This window comes from Homo sapiens, chromosome 14, assembly GCF_000001405.40.
Source record: "Homo sapiens chromosome 14, GRCh38.p14 Primary Assembly".
In the NCBI taxonomy this organism is placed as follows: domain Eukaryota; kingdom Metazoa; phylum Chordata; class Mammalia; order Primates; family Hominidae; genus Homo; species Homo sapiens.
In genome coordinates, this window is record NC_000014.9 from 22,755,231 (window position 1) to 22,773,165 (window position 17,935).

Sequence of the window (17,935 nt, forward strand, 5' to 3'; positions counted from 1 at the left end):
TCAATGATTTCGTGAGACAGTCAAGATATCTTAATACAATGCCCAGTACACAGTGAACAATCAATAATTAAGGTATCATTGAAGTTATTTCACCTACCCTCCTATTGCTATTTGCCACATATCTTTCTACTCTAGTCAGGCTTGCCCCAGTTTTTGTGTCTGTATTACCAATAATATACCAATTACTTTTTAAATTAGTGTATAGGTTGAATTGTGTCTTCCCAAAATTTGTGTAAGTCCTAAGCCCCAGTACTTGAGAATGTGACTATATTTGAAGATAAGGTCTTTAAAGCATTGCTTAGGTTAAAATGAGGTGCTCTGTTTTTTTTTCAGGGTGGGCCCTAATCCAATATGACTGGTGTCCTTGTAAGAAGGAGAAATTTAGGCATACCAGGAGACACCAGAAACATGTGCAGACAGAGGGAAAACCATATGAAGACAGAGTGGGAAAGTAGCCACCTGCAAACCACGGAATCAGGCTTCAGAAGAAACCAGGCCTACTGGTACCTTGATCATGGACTTCTAGCCTCCAGAACTATGAGAAAATGAATTTCTGTTGTGTAAGCAACCAAGTGCATGGTATTTTGGTATGGCAGCTCTAGCAAACTAATACAAATATTATCTAAGAGCATAAACAAAATATGTAATCATTACAATAAATGTTAAAATTACAGAAAAATATAAAGATGGAAATAAAAATCACCTATAATTCCATCAACAAGTGATAACCATCATAAAATATTTGGAGGCCAGGCATGGTGGCTCATGCCTGTAATCCCAGAAATTTGGGAGGCTGAGGCAGAAGGATCACTTGAGCCCAGGAGTTCAAGACCAGCCTGGGCAACATAGGGAGAACCTGTCTCTATAAAATAAATACATAAATTATATTAAAGTAAATAAAATGTTTGGAGTATTTTGTTCCAGGCTTTTTTTCTAAGATATACATATTTTTTTTCATTTTCATAAAATTACCATCATAATGTACTTACAGTTTTATATTCTGCTTCTTTTACATAATTATGAACATTTTTCTTTTTTTTTTTGAGACGGAGTCTTGCTCAGTCACCCAGGCTGGAGTGCAGTGGCACAATCTCGGCTCATGCAACCTCCTCTGCCTCCCGGGTTCACACCATTCTCCTGCCTCAGCCTCCCAAGTAGCTGGGACTACCGACACCCGCCACGACACCCGGCTAATTTTTTCGTGTATTTTTAGTAGAGATGGGGTTTCATCATGTTAGCCAGGATGGTCTCGATCTCCTGACCTCGTGATCCACCCGCCTCAGCCTCCCAAAGTTCTGGGATTACAGGCGTGAGCCACGGCGCCTGGCCTGAACATTTTTATTTCATCATGGACATTTTACCACCTTGTTATCAAAAACATGTTTTGAAATGGCTACATATTGCTCTATTGAATGAATACAGTCTAAGTCATTTCTATTCCCCTATTGATTAAAATGTCAGTTGTTTCCATTTTTTAATCATTTTATTTTTCTTTATTTTTATACATTTTTGTCTTTTTTTGACTCACCTCAGGATCAGCCAGTACAAATATGAGAGAAATCAGTGTCACACAACAGTCACAGTTGTCATCACTTCCCTCCAATTTTCATCTTTTTTGGAGTTTTGTTTGTTTGTTTGAGACAGAGTCTCCCTGTATTGCCCAGGCTGGAGTGCAGTGGTGTGATCTAGGCTCACTGCAACCTCTGCCTCCTGGGTTCAAGCAATTATCCTGTCTCAGCCTCCTGAGTAGCTGGGACTACAGGCACATGCCACCACACCCAGCTAATTTTTGTATTTTCAGTAGAGAGGGGGTTTCACCATATTGGTCAGGCTGGTCTCAAACTCCTGACCTCGTGATCCACCTGCCTCGGCCTCCCAAAGTGCTGGGATTACAAGCGTGAGCCACCGCGTCTGGCCAATTTTCATCATTTTAAATAACACTGTAATGAACCTCTATGAATATAACTGTGATTAATTTCCTAAGTGGAAATCTTTATAAAGGAATTACAGGTTAAACTTTATTACAGGCCAGTCTTCACAGTGTCCTCCACATACCCCACTCATCACTGCTTCCAGGCCTGCTGTCTTGTTCCCTCTGCCTGGAAGCACCAACTAAAATCTCACCAACACTCCTTCATAAATGTCCCCTGAATATTGTGACCCCATGTCAATTTCACCCTCACAGTTACCCTGTTGTATTTTGTTACCTCAAACTTCATTACACACTCTACTTAAAAGTACTTTAATCATGTCATGTATAGGTATTTTCTCCATATCTAGACTATAAATTCCCCAGGCTTTTTTTTTTTTTTTTTTTTTTTTGGTATCCTGGAGTATTAAACACATTGCTGAAAATTTAACCAAAAAAAAAATCATGAAAAACCCATGTTTTAAAATAAATATATATTTGTTTAAAAGGAAGATTAAATAGAACTACTGGTATCATACTCTCTACCCAAAGTGGTTTTACATTCATTACAGAGTGATTTCTTAGAATGTTTGATATTAAATATAATTTAAGAATATTAGCAATGGCAACAAAACCAAAATAGACAAATGGGATCTAATTAAACTCAAGAGCTTCTGCACAGCAAAAGAAACTACCATCAGAGTGAACAGGCAACCTACAGAATGGGAGAAAATTTTTGCAATCTACCCATCTGACAAAGGGCTAATATCCAAAATCTACAAAGAACTTAAACAAATTTACAAGAAAAAAATCAAACAACCCCATCGAAAAGTGGGCAAAGGATATGAACAGACACGTCTCAAAAGAAGACATTTATGCAGCCAACAGACACATGAAAAAATGCTCATCATCACTGGCCATCAGAGAAATGCAAATCAAAACCACAGTGAGATACCATCTCACATCAGTCAGAATGGCAATTATTAAAAAGTCAGGAAACAACAGGTGCTGGAGAGGATGTGGAGAAATAGGAACACTTACACTGTTGGTGGGACTGTAAACTAGTTCAACCATTGTGGAAGACAGTGTGGCGATTCCTCAGGGATCTAGAACTAGAAATACCATTTGACCCAGCCACCCCATTACTGGGTATATACCCAAAGGATTATAAATCATGATACTATAAAGACACATGCACACGTATGTTTATTGCGGCACTATTCACAATAGCAAAGACTTGGAACCAACCTAAATGTCCATTGATGATAGACTGGATTAAGAAAACGTAGCACATATATACCATGGAATACTATGCAGCCATAAAAAAGGATGAGTTCATGTCCTTTGTAGTGACACGGATGAAGCTGGAAACCATCATTCTGAGCAAACTATCACAAGGACAGAAAACTGAACACCGCGTGTTCTCACTCATAGGTGGGAATTGAACAATGAGAACACTTGGACACAGGGCAGGGAACATCACACACCGGGGCCTGTCGTGGGGTGGGGGGATGGGGGAAGGATACCATTAGGAGAAATACCCAATGTAAATGATGAGTTAACGGGTGCAGCAAACCAACACGGCACATGTATACATATGTAACAAACCTGCATGTTATGCACGTGTACCCTAGAACGTAAAGTATAATAATAAAAAAAAAGAACAAAAAAAGAATATTAGGCCCCATGAGGGATAAATATTGACTTATGTGTATCTCTATTGCCTAGAATAGTACCAGATATATAATGGGCACTCGATAAATATTTTGTAGAATAAATAAATGTTGAATGATGAATGACCTTTTACATGGTACTGTAGCAGGAATTATTTAATTATAACGTAGCTAGTTCCACTTCTTAAATAGCAAATCCCTAGAGACTACATCTTTTAAAAGATTGCCTGATTAAGCCCAAACAGCATTCTGCATAGGGAGAAATCATCCGTGCATAATTAATGACTGAAAATTACACACAGGTCTTTAACACGGAGACGTGATATTACAAACAATGAAAACACAGAGTCCCTCAAAAAAAAAAACAGTGTATTTTTGCAAAAGGCAATATTGTTTTCCTTTATTGTTCATTCTGCCTGGAATGCCATGCTATTTTCTTTATTTTTATCTTTCTTTCTCTGTATCTATTAATTAAGGCCAAGATTAAAAATGGTTTCCTCCATGAAGCCATCCCTGATGTATTCTTAGACATAATCTCTCTCATCAGAACTACCCAAGCACTTTATTCATTTATCTCATAAGGCACCAAAGACTAAATGTCCATACCAGGTGACAAGGCAAAGTAATTATCCAGAGAATAAACTTTTTAAAATTTTTCACTCAAAATATATGAATTAATCGAGACAAATGTACTATTTTGACAGGGAAGTGTCCTCTGTAAACTGTTTTTTTACTTATGAATAAAATTTATTTATGTATAACTTACATAAAATGTGCCCATTTAAATGAATAGTTTGCTGAATTTTGATAAATGTATTCACCTACTTAACCACCACAATAATCAAAATATAGATTATTTCTTTTATTTTTTTGTTTTTGTTTTTTGAGACGGAGTCTTGCTCTTGTCGCCCCAGCTGGAGTGCAAGGCACGATCTCAGCTCACTGCAACCTCTGCCTCCTGGGTTCAAGAAATTCTCCTGCCTCAGCCTCCCAAGTAGCTGGGATTACAGGCGCCAGCCATTGTGCCTAGCTAATTTTTGTATTTTTAGTAGAGATGGGGTTTCACCATGTTAGCCAGGCTGCTCTCAAACTCCTGACCTTGTGATCCTCCTGCCTCAGCCTCTCAAAGTGCTGGATTACAGGTGTGAGCCACCGGCCCTAAATTTTTTTTAGAGATGAGATCTCACTATGTTGCTCAGGCTAGTCTTGAACTCCTGATCTTTTTTTCTTTTTTTCTTTTGAGATTAAGTTTCACTCCTGTTGCCCAGGCTGGAGTGCTCACTGTAACCTCCATCTCCCGGGTTCAAGCGATTCTCCTGCCTCAGCCTCCCGAGTAGCTGGGATTACATGCATGTGCCACCATGCCCAGCTAATTTTGTATTTTTGGTAGAGACGGGGTTTCTCCATGTTGGTCAGGCTGGTCTTGAACTCCCGACCTCCGGTGATCCGCCCACCTCAGCCTCCCAAAGTGCTGGGATTACAGGTGTGAGCCACCATGCCTGGCCTATTCTCTTAACTTTCTATTCCTTTTCTTACACTTACTTAAGGTCCAATGTGCTCTTTTCTTCTATCTTATTAAAATGGATGCTCATGTGATATCAGCAAAATGGTGGACGACAAAGCTCCAAGCTTTCATTATCCAACAGAAACTTCATAAAACAACCAGAAATGAGCTGAACTAACCTGTAAGAGCTCCAAAAAACAGTTAAAGGTTTACAGTAACCAAGTGAATGCCCACCTTCCAAATGTTAAGAAAGTTTTGTCGTGTCTTTATTTGCCCTCGTCCCCTCCTCCTCCCTGATGCGGCAGTGCTCTTAGTCTGGAAGAGGCAGCAGCCTAATTCCAAGTTCCCTCCCTTAAATGGAAGGGAGAAGAGCAAAGCTTTTTGCAAATTATTGTGCGCATATGGGGGTTACCTAAAGGACTGGCCTCAGGTCTCAGAAAAGCGGTAGTCATTGCTCATGAAAGCTGCAAGGAGACTACAGACCCACTGACATGTGGAGTAAAAGACTATGGGTGGATACATACAGTAGACCATGTAAGGCCCCAGGAGAAACCGGACTGAGACTCTTTAGGAAATAAGACATTCAAAAGCAGCCATGTATATGGGGAAATTGGGAAGTTACACATGCCCAGGTAAGACACTTGGTCAGAAAAGCCCTGAAAAGACCTTAAGCCTTCACCTCAGCTGATCCCTAGGCTCAAAGCAAGCCTTGCTCAGTGCTGAAGAACTGTACCAGTATAGAGCCAATCTGCAAAGACTAGGGGAGTTAGCTGTTTTTTCAAATGTCTACTTTTCAACAAAAACTACAAAAATTACAAGGCATACAAAGAAACAGGAAAACATGGCACATTCAAAGGAGTAAAATTAATTGGCAGAAACCATTTCTGAGGACATCCAGACATTTGACTTACCAAAGACTTTAAAACAATTGTCTTAAATTTGCTCAAAGAGCTAAAAGAAAACATGGGCAAAAAACTAAAGGAAATCAGGAAAATGGTATATTAACAAAATTAGAAAACCAAGAAAGGGACAAAAATTGTAAAAAGGAGCTAAACAGAAATTCTATAGCTGAAAGACACAATAACTGAAATGAAAATTTACTAGAGGAGCTCAAACACAGAAGAATCAGTGAACTTGAAAATAAGACAATTGAAATTTTCAAATCTGAGGAGCATAAAGAAAAATAAATAAAGAAAAGTGGATAGGCCAAGTGAGGTGGCTCATGCCTGTAATCTCAGCACTTTGGGAGGTCAAGGCGGGTGGATCACTTGAGGTCAGGAGTTCGAAAACAGCCTGGCCAACACAGCAAAACCTTATCTCTGCCAAAAATACAAAAATTAGCTGGACATGGTGATGAGTGCCTGTAATCCCAACTACTCAGAAGGCTGAGGCAGGAAAATTGCTTGAACCTGGGAGGCAGAGGTTGCAGTGAGCCAAGATTGTGTCACTGCACTCTAGCCTGGGCAACAGAGTGAGGCTCTGTCTCAAAAAAAGAAAAAAAGAAAAGTGGACAGAGACCAAGGAACTTGTGGAATACCATTAAGTAGACCAACATATGCATTACGATTCCCAAAGAGGGGTTAGAGAAAGGGGCAAAAAGATTATTTGAAGAAATGGCTGCAAACTTCCCAAATTTGATGAAAGGCACTAATCTACAAATCCAAGAATCTCAATAAACTCCAAGTAAAATAAATCCAAAGAGACTCACACTGAGACACATTATAATCAAACTGTTGAAAGACAGAGAATCTTGACAGCAGCAAGAGAGAAGCAACTCATAATGTACAAGTGATCCTCAATAACACTATCAGCTGAAGTCCAATCACTCTGAGGGAAAAGAAAAAAAAAAAGACTACTGGCCATTTTCTCAGCAGAAACCCTGGATGCCAGAACGCAGTGGGATAATACATTTAAAGTGCTTTAAAAAAAAAAAAAACTGTCAGGACAGGCATGCTGGCTCACACCTATAACCCCCAACACTTTGGGACACACCAAGGTAGCTGTGTAGATCACTGGAGCCCAGGAGTTTGAGACCAGCCTGGGCAACATGGCAAAACTTTATCTCTACAAAAAAACCCACAAAAATTAGTTGCACCTGTAGTCTCAGCTACTCAGGAGCCTGAGGCAGGAAGATCACTTGAACCTGGGAGATCAAGGCTACAGTGAGCCATGATCACACCACTGCACTCCAGTCTGGGCAACGGAGAGAGATCTTGTCTCTTAAAAAAAAAATTATGCGAAATCTACTCTGCCTGTGTTCTATAAAGGGAACAACAAAGCCTGGATGACAGCATATCTGTTTACCCTACAGTTTGCTGAATATGTTAAGCTCATTATTGATACCTACCCCTCAGAAAAAAAGATTCCTATCAAAATATTATTGCAGGCTGGGCACAGTGGCTCATGCCTGTAACCCCAACATTTAAGGAGGCCAAGGCAGGAAAATCACTTGAGGCCAGGAGTTCGAGACCAGTCTAGGCAACACAGCAAGACTCAGTCTCCATTAAAAAAAAAATTACTGACCATTGATAGTGCACCTTGTCACCCTATAGCTCTGATCGAGATGTACAAGGAGATTAATGTTGTTTTCATGCCTGCTAACACAAAATCTTTTCCTTAGCCTGTGGATCAAGAAGTACTTTTGACTTTCAAGTCTATTATTTAAGAAATATATTTTGTAAAGTTATGGCGGCCATAGATAGCAATTCCTATGATGGATCTGGGCAAAGTCAATTGAAAACCTTTTGGAAAGGATTCACCCTCCTAGATGCCATTAAGAGCATTTGTGATTCATGGGAGGAGGTGAAAATATCAACATTAACTGGAGTTTAGAAGAAGTTGATTCCAACCCTCATGGTTGATGTTGAGGAGTCTAAGACTTTATGGAGGGATGTAACTGCAGATGTGGTAGAAACAGCAAGAGAACTAGAATTGGAAGTGGAGTCTGAAGATGTGACTGAATTGCTACAATCTCATGATAAAACTTTAAGAGATGAGGAGTTGCTTCTTCTAGACAAAGTGGTTTTTTGAGATGACATCTACTCATGGTGAAGTTGCTATGAACATTGTTGAAATGACAACAAAAGATTTAAAATATCATATAAACTTAATTGACAAAGCAGCAGCAGGGTTTGAGAGGACTAACTCCAATTTTGAAAGAAGTTCTACCGTGGGTAAAATCCTTTCAAACAGCATCACATGCTATAGAGAAATCTTTCATGAAAAGCATAGTCAATTGATGCAGCAAACTTCATTGTCTTATTTTATGCCACCCCAACCTTCAGCAACCACCACCTTGATAGTCAACAAACATCAAGGCAAGACCCTCCACCAGTAAAAATATGACTTGCTGAAGGCTCAGATGATCATCAACATTTTTAAGCGATATAATATTTTCAAATTAAGGTATGTACATTGTTTTTTAAACATGTTATTGCACACTTAAGAGACTACAGTATAGTGTAAACATAACTTTTTCTTTTTTTTTTTTTGAGATGGAGTTTCACTCTTGTTGCCCAGGCTGGAGTGCAATGGCATGATCTCGGCTCACTGCAACCTCCACCTCCCAGGTTCAAGCAATTCTCCTGTTTCAACCTCCCAAGTAGCTGGGATTACAGGTGCCCACCACCACGCTTGGCTAATTTTTGTATTTTTAATAGAGACGGGTTTCACCATGTTGGCCAGGCTGGTCTCAAACTCCTGACCTCAAGTGATCCACCCACCTCGGCCTCCCAAAGTGCTAGGATTACAGGCATGAGCCACCACACCCGGCCTAGTATTTTTTTTTTTAAGAGATGGGGTCTTACCATGTTACCAAGGTTGGTCTCAAACTCCTGAGCTCAAGCGATCCACCTGCCTCAGCCTCCCAAAGTGCTGAGATTACAGGCCTGAGCCACCATGCCGGCCCAACATAACTTTTATATGCACTGCAAAACAAAAAAATCCCTGTGACTCACTTTATTATGATATTGGCTTTATTGTAGTGGTCTGGAACCCAACCCACAGTATCTTCCAAGTTTGCCTGTACATTTTAGCTATCTATTATTAAACAACTTAGTGGCTTAAAACTACAATAATTTTATTTATTTGCTTGTAATTTTGCAATGTGGGCTCAAATAGCCTTTCTTTGCTCCACACGCAGTCACCTGAGGTGGCTCCAGTGGGCTGGAGAATCCACTTTTTAAATGGCCTTCTTCACGTGGCTGGCAAAAGTTGGTGTTGACTGCTGGCTGGGAGTTCAACTGAGGCTGTTGGCCCAAACCTCAGTTCTTCTTCACATGGTTGGTTGGGCTTTTCACAGGCAGTAAGTCTGAGAAGTCAAACTTCTAACACAGCAGCTGGCTTCCCCCGAATGCAAAAACAGAAGCTATCAGGCCTTCTTAAGGCATAGTCCCAAACTGGCATAACATCACTTCCAACGCATTCTACTATTGATTAAAGCAAGTGACAGGCCCAATCAGACTCAAGAGAAGAGAACTCCTAAAGGTGCAAATATTGGGAAGCCTGGTTCATTTGGGGCCACCAAAGTAGCAGTGTACTGTAAGATAGTCACCCTGCCAAGTGTTCTGTAGCTGTATATTTGTAATTACTTCTAATTGTATTGAGTTTTAAAAGTAATCTCTAAAAAAAAATCAGTGTTTCCATATCAAAAATCTATTGATGTTTATAATAGCATCCAACATATGCAAGTGTTAGCTCATACCACTAATTATTACTAAATCAGTATTATAGTTCTTTGCCTCCTATTTTCGCCATATCTGTCAGGTACATTCATAATCGTTCCAAATGAGCAGTCACTGAAATAATTTCAGGTTATTGTATCTTTCTGAAACTATAATTTGTTGTTTAGAAAGTAATCTGCATATTGAGAGACTTTGTAAGGGTTCAAACATAATCAAACTCCACCTTTCTGACCAGTAACTTTTTTCCCTGAAGATGAATGCTTTTAACTTCAAGAAACAGAACACCCAAGCAACAGACTTAGAGTCTAAACAGTAAAGACCTTTAATCATCTTTTTTTTTTTTTTTTTGAGATGGAGTCTGTCGCCCAGGCTAGAGTGAGGTGGCTCCACCTCGGCTCACTGCAACCTCCACCTCCCGGATTCAAGCGATTCTCCTGCCTCAGCCTCCCTAGTAGCTGGGACTACAGGTATGCACCACCACGCCCGCCTAGTTATTTTGTTTTTTTGTTTTTTGTATTTTTAGTAGAGACAGGATTTCACCATGTTGGCCAGGCTGGTCTCGATCTCTTGACCTAGTTATCGAGACCACCTCAGCCTCCCAAAGTGATGAGATTACAGGTATGAGCCACTGCACCCGGCCAAGACCTTTAATTAACTTACACAACAAAGTCTGGAGATAGGCAGTTCCAAGCATGGTACAGCAGCTCAATGATATCATCAAGTATTTGGGTGTTTTCTATCTTTGCCCTCAACCATCTTCAGCACGTGAGTTTTTCTTTCCTTTTTTTTTTTTTTTTTGAGACGGAGTCTCGCTCTTGTTGCCCAGGCTGGAGTGCAGTGGCACAATCCCGGCTCACTGCAACCTCTGCATCCCGGGTTCAAGTGATTCTCCTGCCTCAGCCTCCCGAGTAGCTGGGATTACAGGCGCCCACCACCACGCCCGGCTAATTTTTGTATTTTTAGTAGAAATGGGGTTTCACCATGTTGGCCAGGATGGTCTCGACCTCCTGATCTCGTGATCCACCCACCTCGGCCTCCCAAAGTACTGGGATTACAGACCTGAGCCACCGCGCCCGGCCTGCACGTGAGCTTTTCATCTGGAAACTTGTCCCCTCATGGTCAGTCCTCACACCACCCCACTTACAGAAGAAAAAAATGGAAAGGTGAAGTCTCCTCTGGAAGCTTCGTCTTTTTATCTGGGAGGAAAATATTTCCCAGAAGCTGCCTTCTTTTAATTTCTGTCAGACTCTAGACTACCCTCAAATTTCACTGGACCTGCGATTACAATATTACCTAGCAATAAGAATCAAAAGAATCGAACATCATTGAGTGGGAAAAATCCTCTGCAAGTACAGCCAAGCCTTTTCTGAGGCTATTTTTAAACTTACAAATCAGAGGACAATCGCGACATTAGAGGAAAATTACCCAGGTTTACGCCATCACTAACGATGATAGCTTACGATGATAGCTAACCCAGCTCTTCAACTTCCTTTCAATCTCCAGAAAAGGCTCTCTGCGTGCTAATGGTAACGTGGCTTTACAGATTTTTACCCACTTCAAATATGGCCGCCAAGCTCCGTTCTCTTTTACCGCCTGATCTGCGGCTACAATTCTGGCTTCATGCCCGCCTCCAAAAGTGCTTCCTCTCGAGGGGTTGTGGTTCTTACTGCGCAGGCGCAAAAGCAAGTCCTCTTCCGGGCAAAATGGCGATGGGACTAATGTGCGGACGCCGGGAGCTTCTGCGCTTGCTACAGTCCGGGCGTCGGGTAAGGATGCCCCGGGGCAGAGCACCGGGATGCTGCCCTGACCCAGTGAACCAGGCCCCAGGACAGCTCGTGCTAGGGGTATCAGCAGACGCTGACCTGCTCACCGGGACCTGAATGTCATGACCTCGGGTCATGTGAGGACGCGCTAGGGTTAGTCCCCGACACTATGGGCCCAGCAGCCCGGTGTCAGCTTCTGGAATTGGCTTGGCTCCTGGCGAGAGCACCTCGGCCTCGTTCTCAGGGCCCTCCGATGTGGGTCTGCGATAACTGAGATGCGGGGAACCCAGGTTCGAGCTTCGCTCTGCAGGCACCACCCGCTGCATGCCTTCGGGCTAGCGGTCTGCGCGCGGTGATAGCAATGTCCTCCCCTGTAGTGGCCGAGCTGCCTGCTTCTTGGGGAGTTAGCATAATGAATCCCGTTTGCACCCACGCGAGGACTTCTGCTCCCGGTAAAGGGGCTCCATCATCCTTTTACACGCTCAGGTCCACAGCGTCGCAGGGCCCTCGCAATGGCTTGGGAAACCGCTGACCACACGGCTCCTATTCCCAGCAGCCCCGTGCTGCTGTCGCCCACACTACCTCTTCCTTGCGGCTTCCGGCCCCCGCAGCCTCAGTACCTCTGCTATCTCTTTTGCAGAAGTCCAGGTAAGAGGCCTTTCGTTCCTGCAATATTAGGAGTGGTGTTTCCTGGTTGGTTTCATATTTTGTTTTGTTTGGGAGCAGGGGGAATATGGAGCAGAGTTCTTGTCCACGCTCCACACAGCTCTCCAAAATGATAGCATCTCTGCTTAGGATGGATTTTCAATTCAGTGGGGAAATGATTGAAAGTACAACAGGAGAGATGTTATATTTGGTTTTCTGAGCTGTTTTAAAGAAAAGCAATTGTTTCATGTTAATATATGGCAAAAATCATGATAGTGATATTCAAATGGCTGAAGTTTGGAAAACAGTGATAAAAGAAATAACTTCCCAGCATGAAGGGAAGTCATGGATTCTTACTCAAAGTAACTTCTCTTCCTAACTATTGATAAAAATGAGATGTCCTTTTTAAGCTTGAAATCTGCAGACACTAGGCTAACCTGGAAGAACAAGAAGTAGAGAGAACAGAACCCAGTACTGGTTATTATAAAAAGATCTCACTTGCTTTGTGTTCGCTACTGAATAAATATAATACAAGGCTTTCTTTCACACAGGTTCAGGCCCCTCCTGTTGTTGCTGCAACTCCCTCACCCACAGCAGTACCTGAGGTGGCTTCTGGAGAGACTGCAGATGTAGTCCAAACTGCTGCAGAGCAGAGCTTCGCTGAACTGGGGCTGGGGTCATACACCCCAGTGGGACTGATCCAGAATTTACTGGAATTTATGCATGTTGATCTGGGCCTACCTTGGTGGGGGGCCATTGCTGCATGTAAGGGGAATATACCCTGGACATGGGTTAGGGATTTAACCTCATAGATGGCAATTCTTTGAATGGATTCAGGAAGTAGTTGCAGAAGCTCTGGGGTCAGAAGAGCAGATGATTTCAAATGAGCAATAGAGGTTCATGATACCTAGATGCACTCTGCCTATATTTCTTAAAGAGCATTATAAAACCACCAGATCATCTGGGATTCAAGAAGTGTAGATATTTGAATACAAACATGGGGTTAGAGTCAGGGGACCTTATTAACAGTCATGAAGCTATCCTGGTTTAGAACAGAGGTTCAGGTCAGGCACTTAAACCCCTAAATTGGGAAGCCACTAGCATTGCTTTTGTAAAGGCTAGAACTCTGCTTTGAATTATGTGTCTTTCTGCCACGTTGCTCCATCAATTATCTTTTCTCCCCTGTGTCTTCAGCATTTCCCTCCTCACTGCCCTACCCCGAACATGTAAACATGCTCAGGCACACCCATGTGTTACCTGGGGGAAGGTTTCTTCCCTTCATCCTTAGTTCCCCTTCACTTACTATCCTATCTTCTTCCTTTGATGGCTGTTATTTATTTTGTTGTTGTTAATTTTTGTGGATACCTAGTAGGTGTATATATTTATGGGCTACATGAGATGTTTTGATAGAGGCATGCAAGGTGTAATAATCACATTATGGAGAATGAGATATCCATCCCCTTAAGCATTTATCCTTTAAGTTACAAACAATCCAATTACACTTTTATTTTATTTTTTATTTTATTTATTTTTTTAAACGGAGTCTTGCTCTGTCACCCAGGCTGGAGTGCAGTGGTGCAGTCTCAGCTCACTGCAACCTCCACCTCCCAGGTTCTAGCGATTCTCATGTCTCAGCCTCTCAAGTAGCTGGGACTACAGGTGTGCCACCACACCTGGCTAATTTTTACGTTCTTTATTTAAAAATATGCTATTATTACTGACTATAGTCACCCTGTTGTGCAATCAATAGTAGATCTTATTCTAACTTTTTTTTACCCATTAACTATTCCCAACCCTGACTACCCTTCCCAGCCTCTGGTACCTTCCTTCTACTCTCTGCCCATGATTTCATTTGTTTTGATTTTTAGATCTCACAAATAAGTGAGAACATGGCGATGTTCGTCTTTCTGTGCTTGCCTTATTTCACTTAACATAGTGATCTCCAGTTCCATCCACGTTGTCACAGATGACTGGGTTTCATTCTTTTGATAGCTGTTACTTAAAAGACTGCTCTGCATCCAATTAGCCTACTTCTTTCCATTTACTCCCTCAGCCGTCTGGCTTTTACTCATATCACCTCATTCGAACTGCCAGTAACATAATTGCTAAATCCACTCCTGTCAGCTTTTTGTTTGAGGAAACAAACAGGATTCCTAATCATCTGCTTAGAGAAGTTAATGCCATACTTTTGTGATGCCAAATTAGAGAACTGAGCCTTAAAGCAACTAATTCATTCCCCTGACCTTATTTCTGGGCCTCTTAGGCATGAGTCATAGAATGGACAAGGCAAGAATAAGACCCTTTCAGTAAGGACCTAAAAGCCTTCAACCTTCTAGCTGCAGAACTGCTTTAATTTCACTCCAATCCTAGTTTGTATTTTCCAGGTACAGTCTTTGCCCGCTGCCTGATTTTTCCTCTCATCGTGACGGGCCAGCGAGAGGCAGCCAGGATCCACAATCACTTGCCAGAGATCCAGAAGTTTTCCAGTCGAATCAGAGAGGCCAAGTTAGCAGGAGACCATATTGAGTGTGAGTCAGTTGCAGAATGAGCGTGGGAGAAGTCCACATTTGCACTTTTCCTTACATTCTGCTGGGGGAAAGGAACAATGTAAATCAGAAGTTGCCACAGTCGGGAAAGTTCTAAAGGTTTATCTGTTTCTTAGACCTAATGCTCCCAAGGAGTGGCCAGGGTTGGTTAGAAATTTCACAGGCCAGGTAGATAATGAGGATGTTCACCTCCACTGATGTAACTGTTACCCCAACCATTAATTTCCCCTCACCTCACAGATTACAAGGCTTCCTCGGAGATGGCACTTTACCAGAAAAAACATGGTATTAAACTCTATAAACCTCTCATTCTCCCTGTGACTCAGGTGAGCAAAAACATTTCCTTCCTTATTTCATCCAGTACCCATGAAATTTCCTCTCTGTGTTTCATGTGTCCCAGGTCCCCCAAAAAACAGGTGGTGGTGGATTATACATGGCTTTCAGTAGTGGGGTGATGAAAATGTTCTCTCTGGTAAAGCATGCTGACACTGTTTATCTTGTGTAATAGGCCCCAATCTTCATCTCCTTCTTCATTGCTTTGAGAGAGATGGCCAACCTTCCTGTGCCCAGCCTGCAGACAGGTGGCCTCTGGTGGTTCCAGGATCTCACGGTATCCGATCCCATCTACATATTACCACTGGCAGTCACTGCTACAATGTGGGCTGTTCTTGAGGTAAGCCCAGATTGGCCAAGTGCCAGGCCTGCAAAGTGAACTGGGGTTGGAGGGTAAAGTAGTTGTACAGAATGGTCATCCTTCACTTGCTGGAGAAAGAGTTGATGGGTAAGAGATTAGAGACAGATTCACTGAAACTGACAGCTTTCCCGACTTTTCCACCCCACTTCTTTTGGCAGCTAGGTGCTGAGACAGGTGTGCAAAGTTCTGACCTTCAGTGGATGAGAAATGTCATCAGAATGATGCCCCTGATAACCTTGCCCATAACCATGCATTTCCCCACGGTATGTAATGCCTTATGGGCTGGCTCCAAGGCCTTCTGCCTAGCCTAGCCACCTAGCAAGCTGACCAGGGATACAGCTTCTGAGTCCCTTCTCTGTGTTCTCACCCAGGCAGTGTTTATGTACTGGCTCTCCTCCAATTTGTTTTCCCTGGTCCAAGTATCCTGTCTCCGGATTCCAGCAGTACGCACTGTACTTAAAATCCCCCAGCGTGTTGTACATGACCTGGACAAATTACCTCCACGGGAAGGCTTCCTAGAGAGCTTCAAAAAAGGTAAGGGCTCATCCTCTGTGAAAAAGGACTAGGGAAAGGGGTCTAAAAATAGGAATGCAACTGACTCTCTTGCTTCTCTTTACACAGGCTGGAAAAATGCTGAAATGACGCGTCAGCTGCGAGAGCGTGAACAACGCATGCGGAATCAGTTGGAGCTAGCAGCCAGGGGTAAATAGTCCTTTCAGGCCAAATTCTGTCTTTTGTTTCTTCCTTTCTGTTCTTCGTTGAAATTTGTTTTCTCTTCTCCCCTCAGGTCCTTTACGACAGACCTTTACCCACAACCCTCTCCTACAACCTGGAAAGGATAACCCTCCCAATATCCCTAGCAGCAGCAGCAAACCAAAGTCAAAGTATCCCTGGCACGACACACTTGGCTGACTTATGTTCTGTGCGCATTCTGGCAGGAATTCTGTCTCTTCAGAGACTCATCCTCAAAACAAGACTTGACACTGTGTCCTTGCCCCAGTCCTAGGAACTGTGGCACACAGAGATGTTCATTTTAAAAACGGATTTCATGAAACACTCTTGTACTTATGTTTATAAGAGAGCACTGGGTAGCCAAGTGATCTTCCCATTCACAGAGTTAGTAAACCTCTGTACTACATGCTGCTTCCTGATACTTATTGAACAGGGAAATCAGTGTGCACTTCAGAAAACTGAAGAATACCCAGCATTTTGGGAGGCCGAGGTGGGTGGATCACCTGAGATCAGGAGTTTGAGACCAGCCTGGCCAACATGGGGAAACGCCATCTCTGCTGTTTTACAAAAATAGCCACACGTGGTGGTGCACACCTGTAGTCCCAGCTACTCGGGAGGCTGAGGCAGGAGAATTGCTTGAATCCGAGAGGCGGAGGTTGCAGTGAGCCAAGATCGCACCACCGCACTCCAGCCTGGGCAATAGAGGGAGACTGTCTCAAAAAAAAAAGAAAACTGAAGAATAGAGTGAGTCATGATTGCTTTTGCTGGCCCATGGCCTTGGAAAATATAATGTTTTAACCTGGCATTAAGGGTTTAAACTTCCACCCAGGCGCAGTGGCTCACGCCAGTAATCCCAGCACTTTTGGGAGGCCAAGGCGGGCGGATCACGAAGTCAGCAGATCGAGACCATCCTGGCCAACATGGTGAAACCCCGTCTCTACTAAAAAAAAAAAAAAAAAAATTAGCCGGGCATGGCGGCGGGTGCCTGTATTCCCAGCTACTTGGGAGGCTGAGGCAGGAGAATGGCGTGAACCCAGGAGGCAGAGCTTGCAGTGAGCCGAGATTGCGCCACTGCACTCCAGCCTGGGCAAGAGAGTGAGACTCCTTCTCAAAAAAAAAAAAAAAAAAAAAAAAAAAAAAACAGTTTAAACTTCCAACCCATGCATGTGTTGTTCTATGCACATTTGGATTGCAGTCTAGAGGTGTGGCTGATAAGTTGAATGTTGAGATTGTATCTAAATATAGTAACCGCACTTCTTGATCCCAAGATTACTTTAAAAATTTCAAGAAGTAGATGTGTGCAAATTCTTAGTGATAATTAAGAATGAAAGTTCCAGGCTGGGCAAAGTGGCTCACACCTATAATCTCAGCACTTTGGGAGGCTGAGGTGGGTAGATCACTTGAGTCCAGGAATTTGAGACCAGCCTGGGCAACATGGCGAGACCTTGTCTCTGCTAAAAAGTTAGCTGAGCATGGTGGTGCTTGTCCATAGTCCCAGCTACCTGGGAGGCTGAGGTGGGAGGATAGCTTAAGCCCAGGAGGTTGAGGCTGCAGTGATCCAAGATCATGCTGCTATACTCCAGCCTTGGCTACAGAGCAAGATCCTGTCTCAAAAAGGAAGTTCATGTCATTTTTATGTAACAATCCAACATTTGACTAGAGCAGTTTAAGTGTTCTGTTGTCTGCCTTTGTGTAGAGCCTGGTTTATCAGCCTTCAGCAGCTAGCTTGAGAGAGAAAAGATGGATATACTTTCAAGCATAAGATTGATTTTAGTCTTTGTGTTTCT

At 42.7% G+C, this 17,935-nt stretch overlaps 1 protein-coding gene, 1 long non-coding RNA gene and 1 other non-coding gene across 5 annotated transcripts in view, besides 4 other annotated features; 1 reads left to right on the forward strand and 2 right to left on the reverse strand.

Annotated features, from left to right (window-relative positions):
- The window catches only part of OXA1L-DT (OXA1L divergent transcript), a 62,343-nt gene extending 51,011 nt beyond the window's left edge, over nucleotides 1-11,332 (reverse strand). The window contains exons 1-2 of one of the 3 annotated variants that reach the window (XR_007064072.1): nucleotides 11,194-11,332; nucleotides 9,043-9,423 (exon numbers count right to left, since the gene is read on the reverse strand). This is a non-coding gene — a long non-coding RNA (OXA1L divergent transcript). Of the gene's footprint in view, nucleotides 1-9,042; nucleotides 9,428-11,193 lie in introns of those variants that run through there. The other 2 variants (XR_007064071.1, XR_001750638.3) reach the window with 2 other exon arrangements.
- On the reverse strand, nucleotides 1,531-1,599 carry LOC124900351 (small nucleolar RNA SNORD41). The gene has a single exon (XR_007064404.1). It is a non-coding gene; the product is annotated as a small nucleolar RNA SNORD41 (small nucleolar RNA).
- Nucleotides 10,053-10,616: an enhancer, noted in NCBI's record as "NANOG-H3K27ac-H3K4me1 hESC enhancer chr14:23234492-23235055 (GRCh37/hg19 assembly coordinates)". NCBI's record gives its function as "activates a minimal SCP1, AML or CMV promoter by ChIP-STARR-seq in primed H9 embryonic stem cells {active_cell/tissue: H9 hESC(primed)}" and the evidence as "EXISTENCE:reporter gene assay evidence [ECO:0000049][PMID:30033119]".
- Nucleotides 10,617-11,179: an enhancer, noted in NCBI's record as "H3K27ac-H3K4me1 hESC enhancer chr14:23235056-23235618 (GRCh37/hg19 assembly coordinates)". NCBI's record gives its function as "activates a minimal SCP1, AML or CMV promoter by ChIP-STARR-seq in primed H9 embryonic stem cells {active_cell/tissue: H9 hESC(primed)}" and the evidence as "EXISTENCE:reporter gene assay evidence [ECO:0000049][PMID:30033119]".
- Nucleotides 11,180-11,743: an enhancer, noted in NCBI's record as "H3K27ac-H3K4me1 hESC enhancer chr14:23235619-23236182 (GRCh37/hg19 assembly coordinates)". NCBI's record gives its function as "activates a minimal SCP1, AML or CMV promoter by ChIP-STARR-seq in primed H9 embryonic stem cells {active_cell/tissue: H9 hESC(primed)}" and the evidence as "EXISTENCE:reporter gene assay evidence [ECO:0000049][PMID:30033119]".
- Nucleotides 11,337-11,566: an enhancer, noted in NCBI's record as "active region_8139". NCBI's record gives its function as "activates an Ori minimal core promoter by ATAC-STARR-seq in GM12878 lymphoblastoid cells {active_cell/tissue: GM12878}" and the evidence as "EXISTENCE:reporter gene assay evidence [ECO:0000049][PMID:35858748]".
- Nucleotides 11,458-17,812, forward strand: OXA1L (OXA1L mitochondrial inner membrane insertase). The gene is made up of 10 exons (NM_005015.5): nucleotides 11,458-11,534; nucleotides 12,018-12,179; nucleotides 12,728-12,941; nucleotides 14,561-14,704; nucleotides 14,963-15,048; nucleotides 15,231-15,395; nucleotides 15,575-15,679; nucleotides 15,788-15,950; nucleotides 16,038-16,118; nucleotides 16,204-17,812. The coding sequence occupies exons 1-10, from the start codon at nucleotides 11,472-11,474 to the stop codon at nucleotides 16,326-16,328; spliced, it is 1,308 nt and encodes a 435-aa protein (NP_005006.4). The 5' UTR covers nucleotides 11,458-11,471; the 3' UTR covers nucleotides 16,329-17,812.

Excerpts from the sequence above, each read along its gene's own strand:
- OXA1L (NM_005015.5), top strand. The coding sequence starts at position 11,472 with ATGGCGATGGGACTAATGTGCGGACGCCGGGAGCTTCTGCGCTTGCTA. Across the intron at positions 12,180-12,727 it reads TCTCTTTTGCAGAAGTCCAG|GTTCAGGCCCCTCCTGTTGT; the intron begins GTAAGAGGCCTT and ends TCTTTCACACAG. Across the intron at positions 15,396-15,574 it reads CAATGTGGGCTGTTCTTGAG|CTAGGTGCTGAGACAGGTGT; the intron begins GTAAGCCCAGAT and ends TTCTTTTGGCAG.